The 22,183-nt window shown below is 38.6% G+C and overlaps 1 protein-coding gene across 21 annotated transcripts in view, besides 3 other annotated features; it reads left to right on the top strand.

Moving 5' to 3' along the window:
• Window positions 1,199-1,378: an enhancer, noted in NCBI's record as "active region_7639". NCBI's record gives its function as "activates an Ori minimal core promoter by ATAC-STARR-seq in GM12878 lymphoblastoid cells {active_cell/tissue: GM12878}" and the evidence as "EXISTENCE:reporter gene assay evidence [ECO:0000049][PMID:35858748]".
• Window positions 1,334-22,183, top strand: part of AKAP11 (A-kinase anchoring protein 11) — a 51,785-nt gene continuing 30,935 nt past the window's right edge. For 6 of the 21 annotated variants that reach the window (NM_016248.4, XM_005266249.4, XM_005266247.2 and 3 more), the window contains exons 1-3: window positions 2,009-2,085; window positions 15,843-15,892; window positions 16,157-16,256. In NM_016248.4, the coding sequence (NP_057332.1) occupies window positions 16,206-16,256 (51 nt within the window). In that variant the 5' untranslated portion in view covers window positions 2,009-2,085; window positions 15,843-15,892; window positions 16,157-16,205. Of the gene's footprint in view, window positions 1,622-1,878; window positions 1,941-2,008; window positions 2,619-15,842; window positions 15,893-16,156; window positions 16,257-22,183 lie in introns of those variants that run through there. The other 15 variants (XM_011534903.3, XM_047430072.1, XM_047430076.1 and 12 more) reach the window with 5 other exon arrangements.
• Window positions 1,919-2,268: a silencer, noted in NCBI's record as "silent region_5298". NCBI's record gives its function as "represses an Ori minimal core promoter by ATAC-STARR-seq in GM12878 lymphoblastoid cells {active_cell/tissue: GM12878}" and the evidence as "EXISTENCE:reporter gene assay evidence [ECO:0000049][PMID:35858748]".
• Window positions 13,909-14,410: an enhancer, noted in NCBI's record as "NANOG hESC enhancer chr13:42858188-42858689 (GRCh37/hg19 assembly coordinates)". NCBI's record gives its function as "activates a minimal SCP1, AML or CMV promoter by ChIP-STARR-seq in naive H9 embryonic stem cells {active_cell/tissue: H9 hESC(naive)}" and the evidence as "EXISTENCE:reporter gene assay evidence [ECO:0000049][PMID:30033119]".

A 22,183-nucleotide genomic window follows, 5' to 3' on the forward strand; every position in this document is an offset into this window, starting at 1 on the left:
CCTCTTTAAGACCCATTCTTTTCAAAGACGAGACTTTTTTTTTTTAAAAAAAAGTAAACTCTGGGTGTCTCTCCCCTATTAAAAACTCTGTAATACCTTATATTGCGTTTAGAATAAACTTTCAATTCCTTTCTTGGCTAACAAAGCCTTACAGGATCTGGCCCATGCTAGTTTCTGACAGAGCAAGAGCATCACCATCTTGGACAAGCACCGCCATTTTAAGTTCCCCTTGATTAAAAACCGCCTAAATCCAGCCCCAGAAACATCAGCCTAATGGCTAATGTCAGCATGACCATAAACCACAAATAACACTTCTGACCAGAAACTTTCCAACCCTGAGATAAACCCCACTCTGATCAGAAATATGCCTCCCCTCCAACCAGAGACATTACACCCCTGACAATAAAACTCTCCTCCACCCAGAAACATTCCAAGTCTACAATATGCTCTCCCTCCCTAAACCACTAAATACCTTTAGTCTGTAAGAGAGAACACTCCTGACCGAAATCGGCCAGAAGCCCCTCTCAGGTTTATTCTCCAAAATAAACCTGTCTCTGTTAAGCTGCTTTTTGTGTTTCTTTCTTTAACTCTTACAGTTTCCATCTCCAGGCTCAAGAAAGTTTACTTTCTCATTTCTTCTTCCCTCAAATGCACTAGAATAGATCCTTACTTAGGGCCTTTGAATTAGTGTTATCCTTTTCCTGGAATGCTCTATGCTCTGATTTTTGCGTCTGTTATTCAAATCGCTGCTAAAATATCTCCTCCTTAAAAGGGCATCCCCTTTACTAGCCACTCAGTCACCATCACCATCACGTCACTTATTGTAACTTCTTTGCATACAGCTTAAAACCAACAGATTTTTTTTCTTTTCACCCTCAGATAAGTTCCCTAGAATCTACACTACTTGTCTTCATCATTGTTCAATCAACAGCCTAGAGTAGTGTTTGTTGAATGAAGAAATGAACAAACGAATGCACCCTTTCTTCCGTGACCCTCTCCTCTGAACAGGGCAAAACTTAACTCATAACGAGGATACACTCAAAAATGTCTTTCTTATTGCCAGGTGTTTCCACTCTTGAGGAACAGATGCCCTTTAGGAGACAGGGCAATTTGACTGGACTGGCCCTTCCGATTTTAGGTGAAAATAATCACCATAACAGCTTTTCATCTCTGGCTAGGCTTCCCAGTGACCAAAGCTTTACTTTCCGATTTCCATACCACGTAAAGACATCAGGGTGAGCACTAGGGCCCTGAGAACCCTGGAAGCTACTTCTTGGCTGGGATAGGGCTGGTTGCCCGGTGCGCTGTGAGTGGTCCTCCCCGGAGATGCTGGGAGAAGGGGCGGAGCCATCAGAAAGGATGAGCCTTCCTTGGGCCTTCGGATCTGGTGGGGCTGCCACTTTGGGAAGGGCCCCGGGCTTCGGAAGAAAGCAAAACTAGCCTTGTGGCGAAGAAGGAGCCCAGCTGGCCCCAGGCTGTTAAGACTAAGGGGTCGAGGGAAAAGAGGCAGAGCCTGAAACCAAATCTGCGGAGCAAGCCAAGGCCTGGGGACTTGCCAGAGGGAAGGGTTAAGCCGTTTCCAAGGCAACGGACCAGGAAGCGCGCAAGACGTCCGCCGCAGGTTCGTAGGTCGCCCTCGAATTTAAAGCTCCCAAGGCTGAGTGGGTCCCGGCCAATGGAGAGGCCCCCTTTAAGTCATGTGACCAGCGGGGCTGCCCCGCGGGCTGCTCCGCGGGCTGCACTGGAGCACGTGGGAAGGCTTTTTTTCCTGTTCCTTCTTTCCCTTTTTAAACGCCCACCCACTTTTGCGCGGGCTCGGCCGCGGAATTTTTCTCGCGAGAGGCGCGCTGCCCTCTCGCGAGAGAGAGTGGGAGGCGTGGAGAGTAGGCGGTGTTGCGGGCCGGAGCTGCGGCGGCGGCGGCGGCGGCGGAAGCCGAGGGGTGGGCAGGGCGGGGGCGGGCCGCGGGGCTGGGAGGGGGAGGGCTGGGGGTCAGCGCGGGAGGGGGCCAGCTTGCTTGCCCGGCTCGCTCACGGGTCGTTGAGGCCGGTGACATGTCTGTGAGCTGCGGAGGCTGCGGCCCCCAGGTGAGCCGGGCGCCGACGTGCTCGCCGCGGAGGCTGCGTTTAGATGGGGTGGCGGCGGGTGTGCGGCCGGCATGGATGGAGCGGCCCGGCTCCGGCGCTCCAGCCCCTCCGCCTGCCGCTGGTCCCCCTTCTGGCTTCGGGGCCGCCCGAGAGCTGCGCCTTCGCATGGCGGAGGGAGGAGGGCGGGAGGAGCGCGGCCGAAGGAGGAAACTCACCGCACCGGGCCCAGAGTAGAGGGAGGTGCTGGGTCTCGAGACGCGTCTTCCTGGGGTCCCAAGTGTGGCGGTGGAGCTGCCGCCCCTTTTAATGACAGGCTGTTTCCATCCCCGGGGTGGTCTTCAGAGACGGCCCCCCGGGTGCGTGGTGCGCGTGCTTAGTGTGTGTTCGTGGTGTGCGCACAGGAACATTTGCAGCGGTTGGGAGGACGTTGCACTTTGTTCCCGAACAGCATCCTTCACTGTCAGACCCCCGGAGCCTTGGAAGCAGGCGCTGCTCAGATCTTGTAAACGGAAGGCGTCAAGGGGCTCCTCAGAGTATTGATATTTGGATTTGCTGTCAAATACTCTCCTAGGCTGTTAATGGCTTAAGGCTGGCCATAAAGTACCCCGAATGGATTGAGTATACTGCTGTTAATCCAGGCATCTAAGCTGCTTTATAAAAAATATGTAGATGTAACCGAAGTATTAAAAAGTGACAATGACAGTAAAAGCTAACATTTTTTCTCTTCCCCATATTACCAGCTTTCATTTTTTTTCTCTGCTTTGTCTGTCTTCTAAAACCATATAAAGTTGGATGTGGTTTAGCTTTAGATGTTAAGGAGTTTCATGGTGAGAAAGACTGCTGAGATACATACCTAATAGCTTTAGTACAAACTGGAGTTAATTCCTGTTCTCTTTTCAGCTTTTCAATCGCTTGCAAAATGCTCGTTTTGCTTAGCTGCTTCCCACTGTTTTAGAAATGTCATGTCGATTGTTATTTTGTTATGTCTGAAAATACTCAAAATATGGAGTACTAAGAAAAAATGGGGTATCAGTAATGCACAGATATATTTTTTTTAATGTCATCATTTTAGGATGGCAGCCCAGTGCCTGGCATGATTGGTGTCAGTTAAAATAGTGCAATTGAATGATTTTTTTTTTTTTTGAAAAACACATTTACTTTTTCAAACGGTACCCTGATTATTCATTTTTTCTTGTCGTTGTTCCTCCTGACAAAACTGACCCAGGGGTGGACAGTGAATGTCACTATTGTAGCTGTAACAGTAATTTATGAAAGGTCAAAGAATGTAAGGAAATCAGGGAAGAAGTGGGTTCCCAAGCTGAGCTAGAGACTAATGTATGTACCCACATAACTGCAGTATCGACAATATTGATAAGGGCCTAGCAGTGGACTCCTAGGCCAGTGATATTTTGCAGTTGTTGAGGATATGGGAAGTTGCCTAAGACATGGAACCATAGTGAGAAATTCTCTAGCCTTCTCTAGCCCCCTGAACTCCAGGGATAAGTCTAGAAGCTGAAGAAGTCCTCTTTTGCCTTTAGAGGCTGGAAAAAATACGGTACTTTTAATTTTTTTATTTTTTAATTTTAGGAACTTACTGTCTGGAAAAGGAACTCAAACCAATTTGGACAATATATTAAAGGCCGTTTTAAGAGAAAATGCCAGTTGTAAATAGGTAGAGGAATTCTGTCTATACGTGACAAAAATGTGAAAGACTTAGAAAATATCTCTTTGTGAATGGGCAGAGGAGACCAGTGTTGATTAGAAAAAATTCCTTCTTACTCCATCTTAGCAAACTAATTTTCAGAAGTAGAAAAATAAATTTTTTGGCTGGTCTTCATAACCTTTTGGCAAGGGTTTCAAACTTGTAGGGCGTGTGGTGTTTGGTTTTTCAAAAGTAATTGAAGTAACTTTGGATAGGGTAACTGATTTTGTTTTTTTTCCTGTCTTGTGGTCTGCATTTTATTAATCAACTACCTGGAAGGATTGAAGGGTGAGGACAGGTCGAGAAAAGCTTTAAGTTAAGCCTGGGCATGAGTTAAGGGTCAATGAGCTGGTAATATGGGGAAGAGAAAGAAAAATGCTTTATCAGTTTAAAAACAGCCTGGAAAGATCCAAGTGTCTCGATTCTCCCAGTCATCCTTACATATAAAAGTTTATTAAAAAAATACTTCTGGGCCAGGCTTGGTGCCTTACACTTGTAATCCCAGGACTTTAGGAGGCTGAGGCGGGTGGATCACTTGAGACCAGGAGTTCAAGACCAGCCTGGCCAACATGGAAAAACCCTGTCTTTACTAAAAAATAAAAAATTAGCCACGTGTTATGGCACATGCCTGTAATCCCATCTAGTCGAGAGGCTGAGGCACAAGAATCGCTTGAGCCTGAGAGATGGGAGATTGCAGTGAGCCGAGATCGTGCCACTGCACTCCACCCTGGGCGACTGAGTGAGACTCTGCCTCAAAAAACAACAACAAAAAACTTCTGGAGTAAAGGCATTTGAAATTTGTAGATTAGAGACTGGACATGGTAAAAGGAGAAAAGTTATCATTTTTAGAATAATCTGAGAATGTTTCTTGGGAAATAAATGGGGTAGAGGCCTGGAACAGAGAGGATGTTACTTGACTGAAAATGAGGTATATTGTAAAGAGTTTCGGTTTGGGAGTCAGGTCTATTAATTAAATGAGCCTCATTTTCTTCATACCCACCTCAAAAAGTTAGTGCGAAGCACATAGTAGCTGCTTACTCAGTGTTTTTATTTTTACCTCCCGTAATGGTTTGAGGATTCTTTGATTGCAAGGAAGAAAAAGCCAATTTAATTAGCCTACTTAAAAAAAAAGCATTTGTCATACAGTGCTGCTGAAGTCCATTGCATGATTCCAATTCAGCGTTTTGGGAACCAGAAAGTCTTCAGGCAGTTACTCTTCCAGTTTTTCTCTGGAAGCACATGGTCTTATGTCTCTGCTACTCACGCAGGTCTGTTCCAGTTTCTTTCAGATTGGCCTTCTCTTTAAAGCTCTTGGTTTCCACTTCCCCAAAACTTTGATTTGCATGAGACTTTGGTTTGCCATGATGCCAACATCAGACTCACTGACTATGCAACATGGTTCTCAGCAAACATCTCCAAGTCTCAGTTATGTTTCTAGAGAGAGAATCCAATTGGTCAGGTTTCTGCTTCTAGCACAGTTGGCTGGAGAGTGAGGAAAGATAGGAATGGGAAAAATGGATGAGGAAGAGACTTAGATTTGTCTCACAGTTTGCAGGGCTGCTCCTTTTAAACTGGCCATGCCAACATATTTAACAAAAGGAGAGTGGACAGGGAGGAAGTGATGGATACCTCAGGTGTGCTTTAACATCCTGCAATTTGAGTTCTTCCTCTGGCATTGCATTGAACTTGCTCTCAGCTTGGTAATGTTCTAACCAGATCTAACCAGTAGTCTCTTTACAGGACAGATTCTCCTGGGTGTGGGAGTTCAGGCAAATTACTGAAATGCTTGATGACTCAGTTTTCCTATGCGTAGAATGGGCATAATAGCACCTTCTGTGGTGAGAATTATGAATTCATGTATGTAAAGCAATTAAACAGTGTCTGGCATATGGCAGGCACAATGCAAGGGTACGGTATTAGTATTTGTTGAGAGCATACCGTGTGGCAGGTACTGTGATACAGGCTTCTGGTCGTGTTCAGAGAGGAAGGAATTTCTGCCCTCAAGAAGTCTAGAAGTCCAGTGCTGACCACTCATGCTTAAAACCATTTCTTGACTTCAGTGACACTAAATTCTTCTAAATCTCTACCTCACCTACCTTTCTGACTGCCATTTATTTGTGGTTCCTTTTATGCCGGTCCTGGAACCCTTTATCATGGTTGTCTTCATAGATGCTCTCTTGAATTTCTGTTCTTTCCCAGTCGCTGAGACCAGCTTTCAGGTTCTCTATATGTGGATTATTCTTAGAGTAACATCTCCATCTCTGACCCCAAGTAAATCTCTTAATTTTTAGTTCTTTTTTTGGGTATTATTATTTATATAATTTATATGTTTTGAGACATGGTCTTGCTCTGTCACCCAGGCTAGGGTGCAGTGGCGCAATCTTGGCTCACTGCAACCTCCTCCTCCCAGGGCTCAAGCGATTCTCCCTTCTCAGCTTCCCGAGTAGCTGGAACCACAGGTGTGTGCTACCACGCCTAGCTAATTTTTATATTTTTTTAGAGGTGGGGTTTCACCGTGTTGGCCAGGCTGGTCTCAAACTCCTGGGCTCAAGCCGTCCACCTGCCTTGGCCTCCCAATGTGCTGGGATTACAGGTATGCGCCCACTGTACCTAGCCTCTTGGATATTCCTATGTTGATATAAAATACTGTCTTCCAGTTACCTTCTAATTTGCAAAGCCTTCTGATTTACCTTCTGATTTGCAAAGAAAAAAATTTTCTTTCAGCATCCCAGGCTTAAAACCTTAAAGTTATTTTTCACATTCTTCTTTTTTTATGCTGTAATATACCCTGTTAGTTAATAGGTTCTGTGTGGGCTTTTGGGTGCTTCCTATGACTGGCCCATCTGCAAAGTAGATCTGTTGACTTATTTCGGCTACTGGCAGCTTAGGATAGATCCTTATATCTGTAAGAGCTACTTAAATGCCTTTTCAGCAATATACTCTTAGAGTCATGGCGTCATAGATGTCACTGATAAAAAGAAATGTGTTCCTGGGTTAAAATTCTGAACATATTTTCTGTTAGAAATAGTCTTGTGGATAGGGCTACGTACAAGATTAAGAATGTTACTCCATTTTCTAGGGAGCATATTCATGTTGAAAGCACAATCTCAAGATTTTAGTTTTTTGTTGTTGCATTTTTTTGTAGGTATTCAATTACATAGCATTTTAATTATAGCATATCATCCTTATAATATTGCCATACACATATACAAAGTTTTATTATAAATCAGTTGTTGAAAATATTTTTGAAAGTCAAATATATTACAGATGCACACTCAATAGTGAAACTAAGATAATCATTTGAGGGCATATATCCTTTACAGTGATTTCTTAAAACTGTATTCAAATGTAGGTCTAATGAGTTTTTTATTATGAAAATGTTAACTGTTTTATCCTCCTGCCTTCATCTGATTATTCTAATTAACTTCTAACAATGGACCGTTGCATGTTTAAAAGTTGTGTTTATTGTTGCTGAATAAGTAGTTTTGAAGTCAGTAGCCATTCACACTTAGTACTTTGTCAACTAGACCCATGTTATTCCTTTCAATACCAGTGGCTAGTTGGGCTCAAACATACCTTATAAGTAGATCTCAATCTGGAATGCAGTTGAAAAATCAATAATTTTTCTCTGTGACTGTTTGGGAAAACAAAAGTGACAGAACAAATATTCTTGGATTAATTTTGTAAAAAGTCATTAGGTAAGTGGCCCTATTTTCTATTTGGTGATGTTGCTTTTGCCACCAAATGCCTGTCTGCATTCACGTCATTGATGAAATTTCTCTTCACCGTACAGCTCGTTCACTTCAGTAAATCTATAGTTGCTTATTATGAGTAAGGCCTTTGGGGAATGCAGAGATGAGTAAGGCATGGCGATGGAATGAAATTCACTGTTGTATCCCAATCACTGTTACTTAGACGCTTGGTGAATGTATGTGTTGAACGTTGGTAGTACTTACAGTCCAGTGCAGGGCATAGACATGTAGACATTTAACTGTTACATAAGGCACTGTAGTCTAAAGTGCTAAAATAGGGTAAGTGGTGATTTTGCTCCCCAAGGAAATGTTTGGTAATATTTGGAGACAGTTTTGGTTACTGCAACTGAGTGCTACTGGCATCTAGTGGGTAGAGGCCAAGGAAGCTGCTAAGTGTCCTACCATGCATACACAGCCTCCTACAACAAAGACTTATCTGACCCAAAATGTTAGTAATGCTGAGATTGAGAAACTCTGTAGCGGTAAGAACATATATATTGTGAATGCAGGAATGAGGTTGAGGATTAAAAAGGAAAAAGGCAGAAACTATAAAGAAGCAAATATCTTAATAGATATTAAGACATACTAAAATCATTTTATACGATTGACTGTTGTTTTGAAAAACAAAATAGTATCTGATAGCTGTAGTAGTTTTAGATTTTGTAAGTCAAATAACAGGTCTGTACCCAAGAAAGGAACTTAGCTTCCTTATTTGCAAAAAGGGGGATAACATCACTTTTATTCTGCTGTTCACCTATTAGGTATTATTCTGTTTTATTTTTCTAGTGTTTGTGTTAGGGTTTACAAGATAACTTATTACAGGTTTTCTTCAAATAACATCACTTCATGTTTAATGTAGAAATCTATGACAGTCTTTTTTTGTCTCCATCTCCCCTGCCACATTTTTTATCCTATTTTGTCATACATTTTATCAATATGTCTGTCTTAAACCCTCTAATTAATTGTTACTATTTTTAAACAGTTATATTTTAACTGTTTAAAAGGGATTGAAAAATGAAGAATAACTTCTGTTACCCTCATATTTACCATTTCAGATGTTCTTTATTCCTTCGTGTAAGATTCAGATTTCCATCTGGTATTGTTTTACTTTGCCTGAAGAATTTCTTTCCATAGTTACTCTAGTGGTGGTCAACTGGTGGTGAATTTTCACGGCCCTTATTCATGTGAATAAATTTATTTTGCCTTAATTTTTGAAATACATTTTCATTGAGTATATCTGGGTTGATGCTTTTTTTTTTTTCTTCTTCTTAGTACTTTGAAGATAGTGCTCCATTGTCTTGTTTTCCGGTTCATATAGATGTGAAGTCTGTTGTCCTTGGTTCCTCTGTATATAATGTGTACTTTTTTTCTGGTCAATTAATATTTTTTCTTTATCACTGGTTTTCAGCCATTTGGTTATGATTTGCCTTGGCTTTCTTTATGTTTATTCTTAGGGTTTGCTGAGCTTCCTTGGTACTGTCAGTTTACGGTTTTCATCAAATTTGGGAAGTTCTCTGCTATTTTGTCTTCAAATTTTTTTTTCTTCTGCACCCACTTCCCCAGTGCACGCACGTGCACACCCACACACACACACACACACTCTCTCTCTCTCACTCACTCACTCGCTTACTCACTATGTCTCTTCGTGGAACTCCAGTTATTCACCTTTTATGGTGCTTAAAAAGTCACTTACACTCTACGTTTGTTTTTAAGTTTTGTCTCTCCATGTTTCATTTTGGATAGCTTCTATTACATTGTCTACAAGTTCACTGAGCTTTTCTTCTCTAGTTTAATCTGTTAATTGTATCCAGTATGGTTTTCGTTTCAGTATATTTAATTTTCATCTCTAAAAGTTCAATTTTGGTGTCTTTTGTATCTTCTCCTTCTCTCCTTATGGTGATGTTTTCCTCTCACTTCTTGAGTATATGGAACATATTTGTACTATAGTTTTACAATCCTTTTCTGTTCCTGCCATCATCACTGTCATTTCTAGGTCTTCATTTATTGCCTTTTTTTCTCTTGGTTATGGTTCATATTTTTCTCTTCCTTTGCATGCTTGGTAATTTTTATTGTATGCCAGCCATTGAGTTTATACTGTTGCTTGCTTGATTTATTATATTACTGAAGTGTGTTGGATTTAGTTGGGGTGCACAGTTACTTGGAATCTGTTGGGTTGTTTCAGGGCTTGCTTTTAGAATTTATTAGTGTGGGTCCAGAACAGTTTTTAACGTAGTGCTGAATTATTGTCTCTACTAAGGCTGCTTCTACTAAGGCTGCTACTTCTTCTGAGGAGTCTATCATTACCTGATACATTACAAGGTTTTTCTATTCTGGTGGAATATATTATGGTTTATCTCTAGGGCTCTCACTTACTTTCAGCTCTCCCTCCAGCTTAATACCCTGTAAATTCTAGCCATCTTGGTCTCTCCAAACTGATCTGTGTTTAAAACTCAGTGAAACCACCAGACTGCTTGGCTTTCCTGTCCCTGTATTGTGACCTGGAAGTAGCTGGCAGCCAGTGTTTCCCTTCTCTCAGGGATCACAATCCCGTGTTCCCTGTTGTCTGATGTTTAAAACCAATGTTTCATATATATTCTGTCCTGTTTTCTTGTAGTTATATTCAACAGAATATTAATTTTTAACACTTGGCCATTTGGCATTTGGTCAAAATGTGTATTTGGAGTGTTTACTCTAAATGTGATCTCAGATACTATAAAGTAGAAATTATTGGAAACACAAATGTATTTTCACAAACTCATTAAATGTAGACATACTCATTTAAATATTTGAAGGCATACTTTGCTCTTTATTCTGTTTTATATTTTTCAGCCTACATCATGCTTTGAACTTTGTTCTTTAAATATGTTACTTTTTATTTATTAGTTCAGCAGATGTTTGAATGCCTACTATGTAAAAATACATAAAACACTTTTGTCCTCATGGAACTTACAACAGGAGGGAAGTATGCAAACAGTGGCACCAGAGGATTAAATTATAAACCACTTAGAGAGCACAAAGGAGGTGGTTACTATTTGGGCAAGGAGGGATAAAGGAGAGATATGAGCCAAGCCTATTTTAGGGAGGGAAGTTTTTGAACTGGTGCGTGAATAGTAAGTAGCAGTTCAGCTGGTGGAAGAGAGAGGGTAGATTTGAGAGAAGTTTAGGAGAATGACAAGTCAGGATTTGGCAATTTACTAGGCGAGGTAGTCTGTAGGAATTGAGGGGAAGACCAGTTTCCAGCTTGGCCTACTGGTTGGGTTTGGTTTAATGGCTCTTACTGAGATAGAGAATACAGGAGGAGATCGTTTAGGGAGAAAGTTTTATTTACCTTTTGAACATACAAATTTTGGAGTAACTGGGATATTTAGTTGGAAGTGTCTAATAGGAAATTAGATATACAGAACTGAAGAATAAATTAGGGAGTTATTTGCATAGTTAAAACCAGAGGTAAGGATAAAATGTCCTTGAAAAACTAAATAAAATGAGACAAGAGGATAAGGATGAAGACTAAGAAATATTAGTATTTGAGTAACAAGTTATGAAATAATTTAGGAAAGGAAACTTACATACAGAGAGACAAGTTTTTCTCAACCAGAAATTACATGTGGCAGTTGTTAAAAGTACAGATTCCTATGTTCCATGTAGACCTGTTGAATTTGGATCTTCTGGTGGGGGAGTTGTGTGTGTTAGAAATAAGCTGATGTGTACAGGTACTGAGGTTTGAGAACTAGTGCAGTAGGAAGAGAGTCAAGATATGGCAATATTGTTGACAGGCGCTTCACAGACTGGCATAGTTAATTCTCCTGATACAAAAAAGGTCAAGTAATAGGTGATGTCAACTTGAACATTTCTTAGGTCAGAGGAGATAAGGAAAGACTTGGAGAATATATATTTTTTAATTATAAAAGAATTTATGTTCATTCAGAAAAGTACAAAACTCAACATACATAGACACAAAATGAAACACCCATGATTGTATCTACCCAGATGAAACCAATGTCTGTACTCATCTAGTGTATGTCTTCTTTTATATTACATATATAGATACACACATGTAGTTATACAGATTTTTCACAAAATGGGATAATGCTAATATGCCAGAACCTGTCTTATTTTACTTAATGATCTACCATCTTCTCATATTGTAGATAGATGACATTTTATAAAATTTAAAAGTCCCACTTGCATGGGTGACCACTGGCATCAGTTTAGTGTACCTCCTTCAAGTCATTTCCTGTGGATGCACAAATATTTACATATGTGTGTCAGAGTTGTGTCTGTATATAATTTTTTCTTTCTTTTTTTTTTTTTTTTGAGACTCTGTGGCCCAGGTTGGAGTGCAGTGGTACAATCTTGGCTCACTGCAACCTCCGTCTCTTGGGTTCAAGCAATTCTTGTGCCTCAGCCTCCCGAGTGGCCGGGATTACAGGCATATACCACCACACCCAGCTAATTTTTGTATTTTTAGTAGAGTCTGGGTTTTGCCATGTTGCCCAGGCTGTTCTTGAACTCCTGGCCTCAAGTGATCTTCCTGCCTTGGCCTCCCAAAGTGCTGGGAGCCACTGTGCTAGGCCAGTCTTTTTTTTTTTTTTTTTTTTTTAAATTACAAGTGAGAGCATCCTATTAACACCATTCTGCAACTTGCTCTTTCACGCCAGTATGGATCACTCTAACTCATTATTTCCAATAGCTGAGTAATAATCATGTGAATTTATTTGAATTGATGAACTTCTAGATTATTTTCAGTTTTTTCATTTTATTTCAGTGAATAGTCTTTCACATATCTTTGTGAATTTTGTGCAAGTATATATGTAGGATAAATTTTAAGAAGTGAAATAGCAGGACTAAAGGATATGTGTATTTATTTAAAGTGCCCTATATCTCTGTTCTCTGTATTCTTTATAATTGTTTCTGTAATTGCTTTCATTTGTTTACTTTTGCATTCTGTGATTTTTCTTAAAATCTTCTTGGTTTTCCATTGTTTTTAGCAATGTCTGTTCTGCTTTTTTGTTATTTCTAAGGGGATTTCATTTGTTTAGTGATAGTTTTCTGTGTGTTTCCTGAGCTATAGTGGTTCACTTCGTAGTTGTTTGCCTTGTCTGCCTCTTTCTTGTCTCTCATCTGCTTTTTTCCAAGCCATGTAGGTTCACTTTAATTTCTTTGACTATAGATAACGCACTTAGTTATTCTTTGCTTAGGACTCTTGTTTCTTCATCCAGAATAGGGCACAAAGCAGTAAAGCACTAAATGAAAAGTTTATCATAATACAAATGTATTTTAGGTGAATATACTGTATTTTTGTTCTTCTTGTGAAATCTGTCAAAAACGATGTGCTCTCTAATTATATAAGATGCTAAAGAAATCCTGCTCTAGTAGCTGTTATCCTTTCTTCCCCCATCAATCTTTGCATCATTTCCAAAGATGATTTTTTTCTTTGCTTTACAAAAGTATGTCATATCATCTCATATTGGATTCACTTTTATGTTGCACAGATATTCTCTAATAGATTTCTTTCTTCCTGAGACAGTATTTTATTTATGTTTAAATGAAAAAGTGGTGGAGTAAGGCAGTAAGTTGTTTTTCTTCCATGAGTGAAACAGAGTGTAAATATAGAATTAAACTGTTTCTCTTTCATTAATTTCAAACAATGATTTGAATTCTGAGATAATGTGAGTCTCAGGGGCATGATTATATTTGTCTGGATTTTTTCTTTTTATGTATATTGTATGTTGTTTGTTTTTCAGTGTTCCTTCGCAGATCCCATACTGAATTCCATTTGCTTTATTATTCAATCTTGAATAAGGGTGTTTTATCTGGATCTGCTATTCAGGAAAATTGTGGGTAAAGTGAACTGGGGTAGCCAGCCCTGTCAAATCCCGGATGTTGTTTCAGAGCACTCCCACCTCTCCCTGCCCAACTTTGAAACTGTTTCTTCTACCTTAGGTGCTTGTTGCACCTGAGGGTGAGCAGCTCATTTAGATAGTTGGTCCCATTTATTTGATGGTGAAGTCTCCTGGGAGTTAATGTTTATCTTTGCTCAGTTGACTTTAGTCAGCAGCTGCAAAGGTAATTGTTGTTTCCTATCTCTTTTCCCTACTTCCCTTTTAGGCAAGGTTAGGAGCAGACTCAGAGAAAGTGATGTAAGGCGTGCCATTCCTTTGTCCTGCAGTATTGTTTTTAATGGCTGCCATGGCGTCATTGTGGGAATGAACCTAAGATCATTTAATTACTCTCTTGTTTCTGGCATCTAGATTGCTTCGTATTTCTATTGTGAGTTGTAATGAACCAGACTATAAAACCTTTATGCACTGTAGAGGAGTGGTGAAGAGCCCCAGTGCTGGAGTTAGAAAATTTGGACTTGAATCCCACCTGTGCCATTTATTTACTCTGTGGGCCTGGGCAAATTGCTAAGCTTCCTCTTGCCTCAGTTTTTCTCATCGTCAAACCGGGGTCCTATTCTGTAGTCTTAAGGACAACATGAGATGTTTACATAAACCTCTTAGCAAAACAGAACACTTGGTGCATTATGAGCCCTTGTTAATAAACTAGATGCTCTAGGATCATTATTTGCTTTGATGCATTCCCAAAAGCAGAAATGCTGAGTCAAAGAAGTATTTCCAGGGTTTTGACACGCATTACAAAACTGCCCTGCAGGTGCCACTTTACTTAGGAGCCTTCTTTGACAGTCTCTGGTTTCTTGGAACCCTTATGTTGGCTTCTATGTTTTATGTTACATTTGAGAAAAGCCCACTTGCCTCTGAGGCTTTCTGGCAGTTGAGGAGAACACTGTGGAGAAGAAAGGAGAGTGAAGTGGCCTGGGACAAATAAAAGGATTATCTTTTTGCTTTGGCCACTATACATTTTTATACTTAAACTTTGTTTTGATAATTTTTGGTCCACTTGATCATTTTGGTCCTTAGGTAAATATTTAAGTCTTCTTTTGCCTGTGTTTTATAGTTTTCAAAGTACCTCCCATAAATTATTTTTCATTTGAGTCTCACAGTAAACTTCTCTGGTAAATACGGTATCATATACATTGAGGAAAAAGTTCCAGAGACATTGCAGTTTACCCAGAGGAAACAAAGCTAATAAGAGGCAGCACAGGGAGACGCATGATCGTCTTCTGGATTCTGGGGTATCACCCTTTACCTTGTGCTGTTGGGAACTCCTTGTGTTAGGCTGAGCCTTTCTCATGCTGCTGCTTCAATTTCAGTAATTAATCAGATTTTATTGTTATAGAGACCACTAGGGCTTATCTTAGTTCAGAATAGAATACAATCATACTTCTTTGTCTAAAAATTAAAATGTAGAAATCTCTAAAGAAGTGTGTGTGTTTGTGCACTCACGCTATAGTCTTATCTGCATAGCAAAAGAATATACAATTTGAACTTCACTAAAATTTAGTTTTTTAAAAGTTCTGACGGTGGGGGGCTAGATTGAAGTTTGTTTTTGCGTATAAATCTCCTCATAGTATAAATTTATGTTAACCAAATGTCTTGGAAACCTCAGCTAAGCAATTCATTTTTTGTCTTTTTGTTTTTTTCAGAAACTGGGTCTTACAATATTGTCTAGACTGGCTTTGAACTCCTGGGCTCAAGCAGTCCTCCCACATCAGCCTCTCGAGTAGCTGAGACTGCAGGCATGCACCACTGTGCCTGGCTTCAACTAGGCAGTTCTTGATAAGACCAGATTGATTTTCTGAAAATACTTGAAACTAAGAATTTCTTAAATATTTATTTGACTTTTTAAAAAAAGTATTTAGTTCCCCACTTCTACTCTTTATTGTGATGAAACTTTTTCCTTTGAAGGCTTTGAATGCAGGAGGGCCATATCTATCTTGTTTCTCTTGTATCCATAGCATCTAGCACAAGTAGATTTTAAATGAATGGACAAGATACTGTGGTCAAATGCAGATACCGAGTGGTTAATGCCTGGAGTGGATTTAAGTTCTCAAAGATGTTAAAGCATCTTTAAAAAGTTGAGACTTAGTTTTGAGTGTTTCACCTGGCAGGTGTTGTGTGTGTTAAGTACTGGTAATCATTTGACTTGGATGTCTTCTGAAATTTTGTCAATGGTATGCTCTTAAGCTTCCTATACAAAGAATGTATCTAATTTGATATGTACAGATTTCTCATTCGTCTATTATCAAACCCTTCTGCCCAAGAAATAAGAATGTCAAGAGCATTCACTGTTGCCATAGAGATAAGAGTGTCTTGGGAGGCAGGGAAGTTGGAATTCTTTTTGTAATATTCTCTACTTAAGCTTCTATTTTTAAAATGTTTTTTAAAAAACTTGTTTTTCAGATCTTTCTCTTTGACACTTTGCAATAAAAAAGGGCAGTGAGATTGAATAGGTAAGGGTGTAAACTATTTTATAATTTTGAACCAAAATATAAGATTTTTATAATAATTTTCTATCTCATTAAGGTACCAATATTCATATATTTTTCAAATATTCTTGCTGGATTGCAAGTAAATTGGGGGGGGTGCTCAGATTATTTTTGTTTTCATTTTTATTTTTCTTTTAATGACTGAGTTAAAATAAATTAATTTAGCACAAAATGCTTGCCTGAATTGTTAAGATCAATAAATAAGTTGTTTTAATATGTTTTCTTTAGGTGTTTTGTGGATTAACTCTTCATTGATTATATACAACAAAAAATAGTTATGGCGACTTTCAGAAACAATCACATGAAGACTAAAGCATCTGTCAGAAAAGTAAGTTCACTCTATTAGGTTTCTTTTAGTGAAAGTTTTAATTAAAATGTTGATTTTTTTTTAAGTCCTACAGCTATGATGTTTTGTTTAAATGAATCTTATTATTTGAATTAGTAACATTGAACTACTGCAAAGATTGGCATGTATGAAAATAGTGATACAAAATCATGATTACAGTGATTTTATTTCCTAAAGATCACAGTGCTTTCTCCCCATTTTTTCTCTACACATAGATATCCATGTGCTTTTTTGCAATATAGGCTGTCAGGTGTAAGCTTTCTTATATACCTTTAGCTTTACCATTCATTCATTCCTTCATTCAGCAAATACACACTTGAGTTCTTATAAGCCAGACCATATGTTAGATGTTGGGTAATCAGTAACAAGCAAACAAAATATGATTCTTAATCCTTTCTTCCTTCTAGTCTAAGGAGGAACCTCCTCACTTCCTTTCTTAAAACAATTTGGTTAACCTTCCATTTCTTGACATTTTTGTCTTTGCTAAAACTTTGGAGGCACTACCCATGAACAAAGAAGGGAAGAATGGAGCCTGGAAGATAATTAACAGTCTTTGTTATTTCTTTTTCTGGACTTCATCTTCTGCATTATATGACACCATTGACCAATCCTTACACATTAAGACAATATTTGATTTTCATTATAGGTTTTTCTTGGTTTCCTTCTCTTTTATGGTAACTCTTGTCTCCTTTGCTAATCTTTCCAAATTCTAATTATCAGTGTTCCTATGAGCTTCTGGGCCTGCCATTCATTTATGTAGAGAGCTAAAAGATGTATAGGTTTGACTGCTAAGTCTAAGAGGATGGCTTCCAAATCTACAGGATGCCTGCAAAATAGAAAGTAAACTTATCCTTAAACAGTATGTTAATTACTTTTTTTTTTTTGGGACACAGTTTCGCTCTGTTGCCCAGGCTGGAGTGCAGTGGCGTGATCTTGGCTTACTGCAAGCTCTGACTCCTGGGTTCATGCCATTCTCCTGCCTCAGCCTCCCGAGTAGCTGGGACTACAGGTGCCCGCCACCACACCTGGCTAATTTTTTTGTATTTTTAGTAGAGACGGGGTTTCACCGTGTTAGCCAGGATGATCGCGATCTCCTGACCTCGTGATCTGCCTGCCTCGGCCTCCCAAAGTGCTGGGATTACAGGTGTGAGCCACTGCGTCTGGCCAATTACATTTTAAAGTAATATGCTCCATATGTTTTGAGGTAAATTACCTTTAAATTTAATAGGTCCACTTTTTAATTTGAAAAAAGTACAATAAAAACTATTTTCTGTTTCTACTCTTTGTAAACTATAGTGTATTTATTATACTTTTTCAGATTAGCAACTAGACCCATAGCTTTAAATTGATTATACTGCTGGCTTTAAACTAATAACTAATAATATATACAAAATATAATAGCAAACTGATAACCATGGTCTTCAAGAATGATGCTACCTGACTTGAATATTTACCCCATACATTGCCAGAGATTCAGGGATTAGACAGCAGCTGAAATTTCATACTATTATTACCAGGTTAGTGTCTTTTGTTATTCAACGTATTGTCCATATTAGGCACTCAGTAAAGATTTAATTTGAATTCAACTTGAATTATTGGAATCCCTTTTAGATAAAAGTATGTGAATCCAGATATTACATACTGTTTATATAAACAGTTATGCACACACATACACCACCTTCTACATCTTGGTGCATCTTAATGTCAGACACTTCCCTATTGGCTACTGTGGAAATTGAAAGATATACTTGAATTCTTTAGATTTCACTTTAATTTGCATTAAATATAGAGATACATTAAATATTTATTGGGAATTAATGTTGCAAAATTAAAAATAGCTATAGTTTCTACCCCAGTAATTTTTTCTAACATTTTATTATGAAAAATTTCAAACACATAGAAAAGTTAAAAGCATAATACACACACAAACCCACGTACCTACCACCCATATTCAACAGTAGTTAATAATTTGTCTTGTTTGCTTTGTGTCTGTGTATGTGTGTATTTACTTTCAGGCAGTACCATTTGCAAGTTATGATCATAATGTTTCTTCACCCTGAACACTTCAGCATGCTTCTCCCAGGAATAACAACATCTTCCCACATAACACTAATACCATGAACACATCCAAGAAAAATAAATTCCCATATATCTAATACTCAGCCATACTCAGATTTCCTGTATTACCCCCAAAATATCTTTTATAGTTCACTCTGCCCCTGTTTGGATCCAGTCTAGCCTCTTAGTCTCTGTTGCCTTTGGCAGTTAGGACTTAGCATTTCTTTTGGTTTGAAAGAATTTTTCCTTTTTTTCTTTATATTCAATTCTGACATCTTGAATAGGCCAGGCTAGTTTTATTTTCTTGTACCATGTTTCACATCTGGATTTCTCTGGTTGTTTTCTCATATTGCTATTTAATTTGATCCTCTCCCTTGTATATTTCACATAAAGTAGAAGTTATGTTTAAAGGTTTAATTGGATCAGGTTAAGCATTTATGGCAAGAATACTTTATAGGGTGATGTGAGGACAGAATTTCAGGTTTTCCCATGATCAGTGATGCTATGATTGATCAGTTGACTAAGGTGATAACCCTGCTAGCATTTCCATTGTAAAAGTACATTTTCTGTTTTTTGGTTAGCACATAATCTGTGATGATACTTGGCTGTGTGCAAATATCCTTTTTTTCCCCCAACAACCATTGAGCTAATGTTTTTGGCATCCCTTGCTTACTCTTTCCTGAATTCATTATTTCATGGGAGTTGCAAAATGGTGATTTTCCTAATTCTACCATTCCTTTCACATTTATTTGCTGGTATTAAAGAAAAGCTTCCCTCATTCACCTTAGATGAACTATATAATATCTCCTATAGAGGCAGGGCAAATGCCCTTTAATTACCAGTTTTCAGATTAATGACAGGGCATCATAGTTAACACCAGTGGTAGCAAGTGAGTTTATTTCCCCACATTAATTCACTAATTTATTTGTAATGCTCTGGACTCATGGATTTTTGCAGTTCTATATTTTATAACCTTTTATTTCTTTACAGTCATTAATTCATCTATGTAAGTTGCTCAAATTTTTCCAAAATTGATACCTGAGAGCCCCTCCAAGTAGGTACCTATATCCTTTTGTCTCAGGCTCATAACTTTGATTGCTTTTTCACTTTCGGGTTGTATCCTTTTGGTACAGGATGACCTAATTTCACCTACTTTACCTTCCTCAGACCTGAAATTGGCTATTTTTTTTTTAAAGAACCCTGAATAGTATTTAAAACCCAAGATCTGGATACTAGGAGTTGCCTTTGCACTTACCATGTCATGAGTTTATATTGACAGTTCACGTTCAGATTTCACATATTTTTTCCTGTTTTGATTTCCTGTTTCTAAATTAGTGTGAAAATCCCCGTTTATTAAGGAAAACAAAATTGTTTAAAATATTGAATATTTTCAAGCCCACAGAAAAGTTGAGAAAAAAACCTAGTACAATGAGCACCTCATATAGTCTTCACTCAGATTCACCCTCGGTTAGCATCATACCTTTAAGTATGTCAGTATCATTACCACCTCTTTGAAAATCATTAATTCAGTAACATCATCTAGCATGCATTCCAAACACAGATTTCCCTGTGTCTCAAGTATCCTTGTAACTTTTTCCTTGCTTCTCTTCTAGGATCCACACTGTATTTGGTCAAGGTTCACACACTGTATTTGGGGATTGTATCTCTTTGGTCTTCCCCATTCTAGACCATTCCAATAGTCTAAATTCTTTTCTCATGCAGCAAATCTTCTGAAGAGTCTAGGCCAGTTGTGTTGTAGAATATTTTTATATTTGGGTTCATTTGTTTTTCCCTGTAATTAGATTCAACACAACACCTGAAAGGTGATGTTGTGTTCATTCCGGTCTATCAGATCTGAAGTCCATATTGTTGATGTTAGGCTTGACTAGGTGGTTAAGGTAATAACCACCAGATATCTCCAATATAAATGCACATAATCTCTTTATGATTAATACACTTAATAAACTATAAGGTGATCCTCTGAGACAGTATGAGTGTCCTTTTCCCCAGCTTTTAACCCAGTAGATTTAGGATACATGGATAATCCTTTCCTAAATCAGTAATTGCATTGGGAGTTTACAAATGGGGTTTTCTAACTTTGTCATTCTGTCCATACTAGCCAGCATTTTTAGGTAAAGGAGCTCCTCTGACTTTGTCTCTTTTAATGGACTCACAGATTTTTTTTAATCCAGTAGTCATAATTCATTACCATTTTCATTCTTCTTGATTCCACATTGTCCCATATTTGGCCAGTGGGAATTCTTTCAAGCTGGCTTCTGTGTTTTTTGAAATTACCCTATTAGTCTTTGAGCATTTCCTTGCATTCTGGCACAGTTAGATGTTCCAGGCTCGCTTCATACATTCTCAGCCTCAGACCTGGAACCAGCCATTTCCCCAGGGAAATCTAGTTCTTTTTATTGGTGATAGATATTTACAGACCAAAAGCTGGGTGCTGACTATGCTCATTGCCACTGAAGGTCATTGTTTCTAAGACTTTTCAGTGGAAAAAAGGTAGTACATGTATTCAAAGAATTACGAATTTGTAATGACAGGTCAGATTCAAATGTAACAGTACAGCTTTTTATCATAAATTCTTTGAGTTTATATTTGTACCTCTTAGACTAAAGATTTCCATTTATTTTAATTTATTAAGATTGCAGCTGTTTGAGTTAATCTAGTGTGAGGTTCTGAAATATGGGGAAACAAAGTGAGTGAAACACAGTCTGTGACTTCCATAATTTGTTTTAATGGGTAGGAAAGAATCTGATTATAGTAATTATATGTTTTTTGTTTTCGAGACGGAATCTCACTCTGTCGCCCAGGCTGGAGTGCAGTGGCGCAGTCTCAGCTAACTGCAACCCCCACCTCCCAGGTTCAAGCAATTCTTCTGCCTCAGCCTTCCGAGCAGCTGGGATTACAGGCACGTGGCACCATGCCAGGCTAATTTGTGTATTTTTAGTAAAGACGGGCTTTCGCTATGTTGGCCAGGCTGGTCTCGAACTCCTTACCTCAAGTGATCCACCCGCCTCCCAAAGTGCTGGGATTACACACGTGAGCCACTGTGCCCAGCCAATAATTATAATATGTTTTGGTGTGGATTAAATGATCTTAGTGCACAACATACAGCAGGAACTTTGAGAGAGATTTATTAGGACTAAGGAATGGAAAAATCTTCACAGGTCTTGGGATGGGTAGGATTTCTACATGGGAAGACTGGGAAGTAAGGACATTTCTGATTGAAGAGCAGATTGACAAGTCAGTGGAAGGGGGCATAAGGTAGAAGGAAATAAGTGTTCTATTTATGCCTGACTATAATACTCATTATTTTCTTTATGTAACTTTTTCCTTGTACTTGTGACAAACATCTCACCCTGAAATTTGGAATCCCCTCTCATTTTCATCAGACAGCTTCCTTAAGATCCATGGAAAACCTTATTTTGGATTATTATCTTATTTTTCTGTCTCCAACTTTGTTAATGGAGTAATCACTGTTGTTAAGGGAGTAATCACTGTTGTGCACCTTACCATAGCTCCCACATCATCTCATTCAATCATATAAATTGTTGCTTCTGTTCTACGCCAGTGACTTGGAAATCAGATATGCAGTTTGTTAAGTTTTAGTGTAAGGTAAGAGTAAGTGAACCTGGTATGAGATCTCACGTGATCTTCTAGTGAGTTGAATGCCCAGGCTCCAGTAGTATGTGTTTTGGGCATGTGAAACTCTGCCTAAACCTTTTCAGCTGAATGGAGCTTTTCTTCTCAGTGGAATTGAGTTCCGCATTCAGTATCAAAAGGTGCCAGTGAATATTAGTTAGAGAATGAGTGACTATCTAAAACATCTCCAGGATCTC

Source organism: Homo sapiens, chromosome 13 (assembly GCF_000001405.40).
Source record: "Homo sapiens chromosome 13, GRCh38.p14 Primary Assembly".
In the NCBI taxonomy this organism is placed as follows: domain Eukaryota; kingdom Metazoa; phylum Chordata; class Mammalia; order Primates; family Hominidae; genus Homo; species Homo sapiens.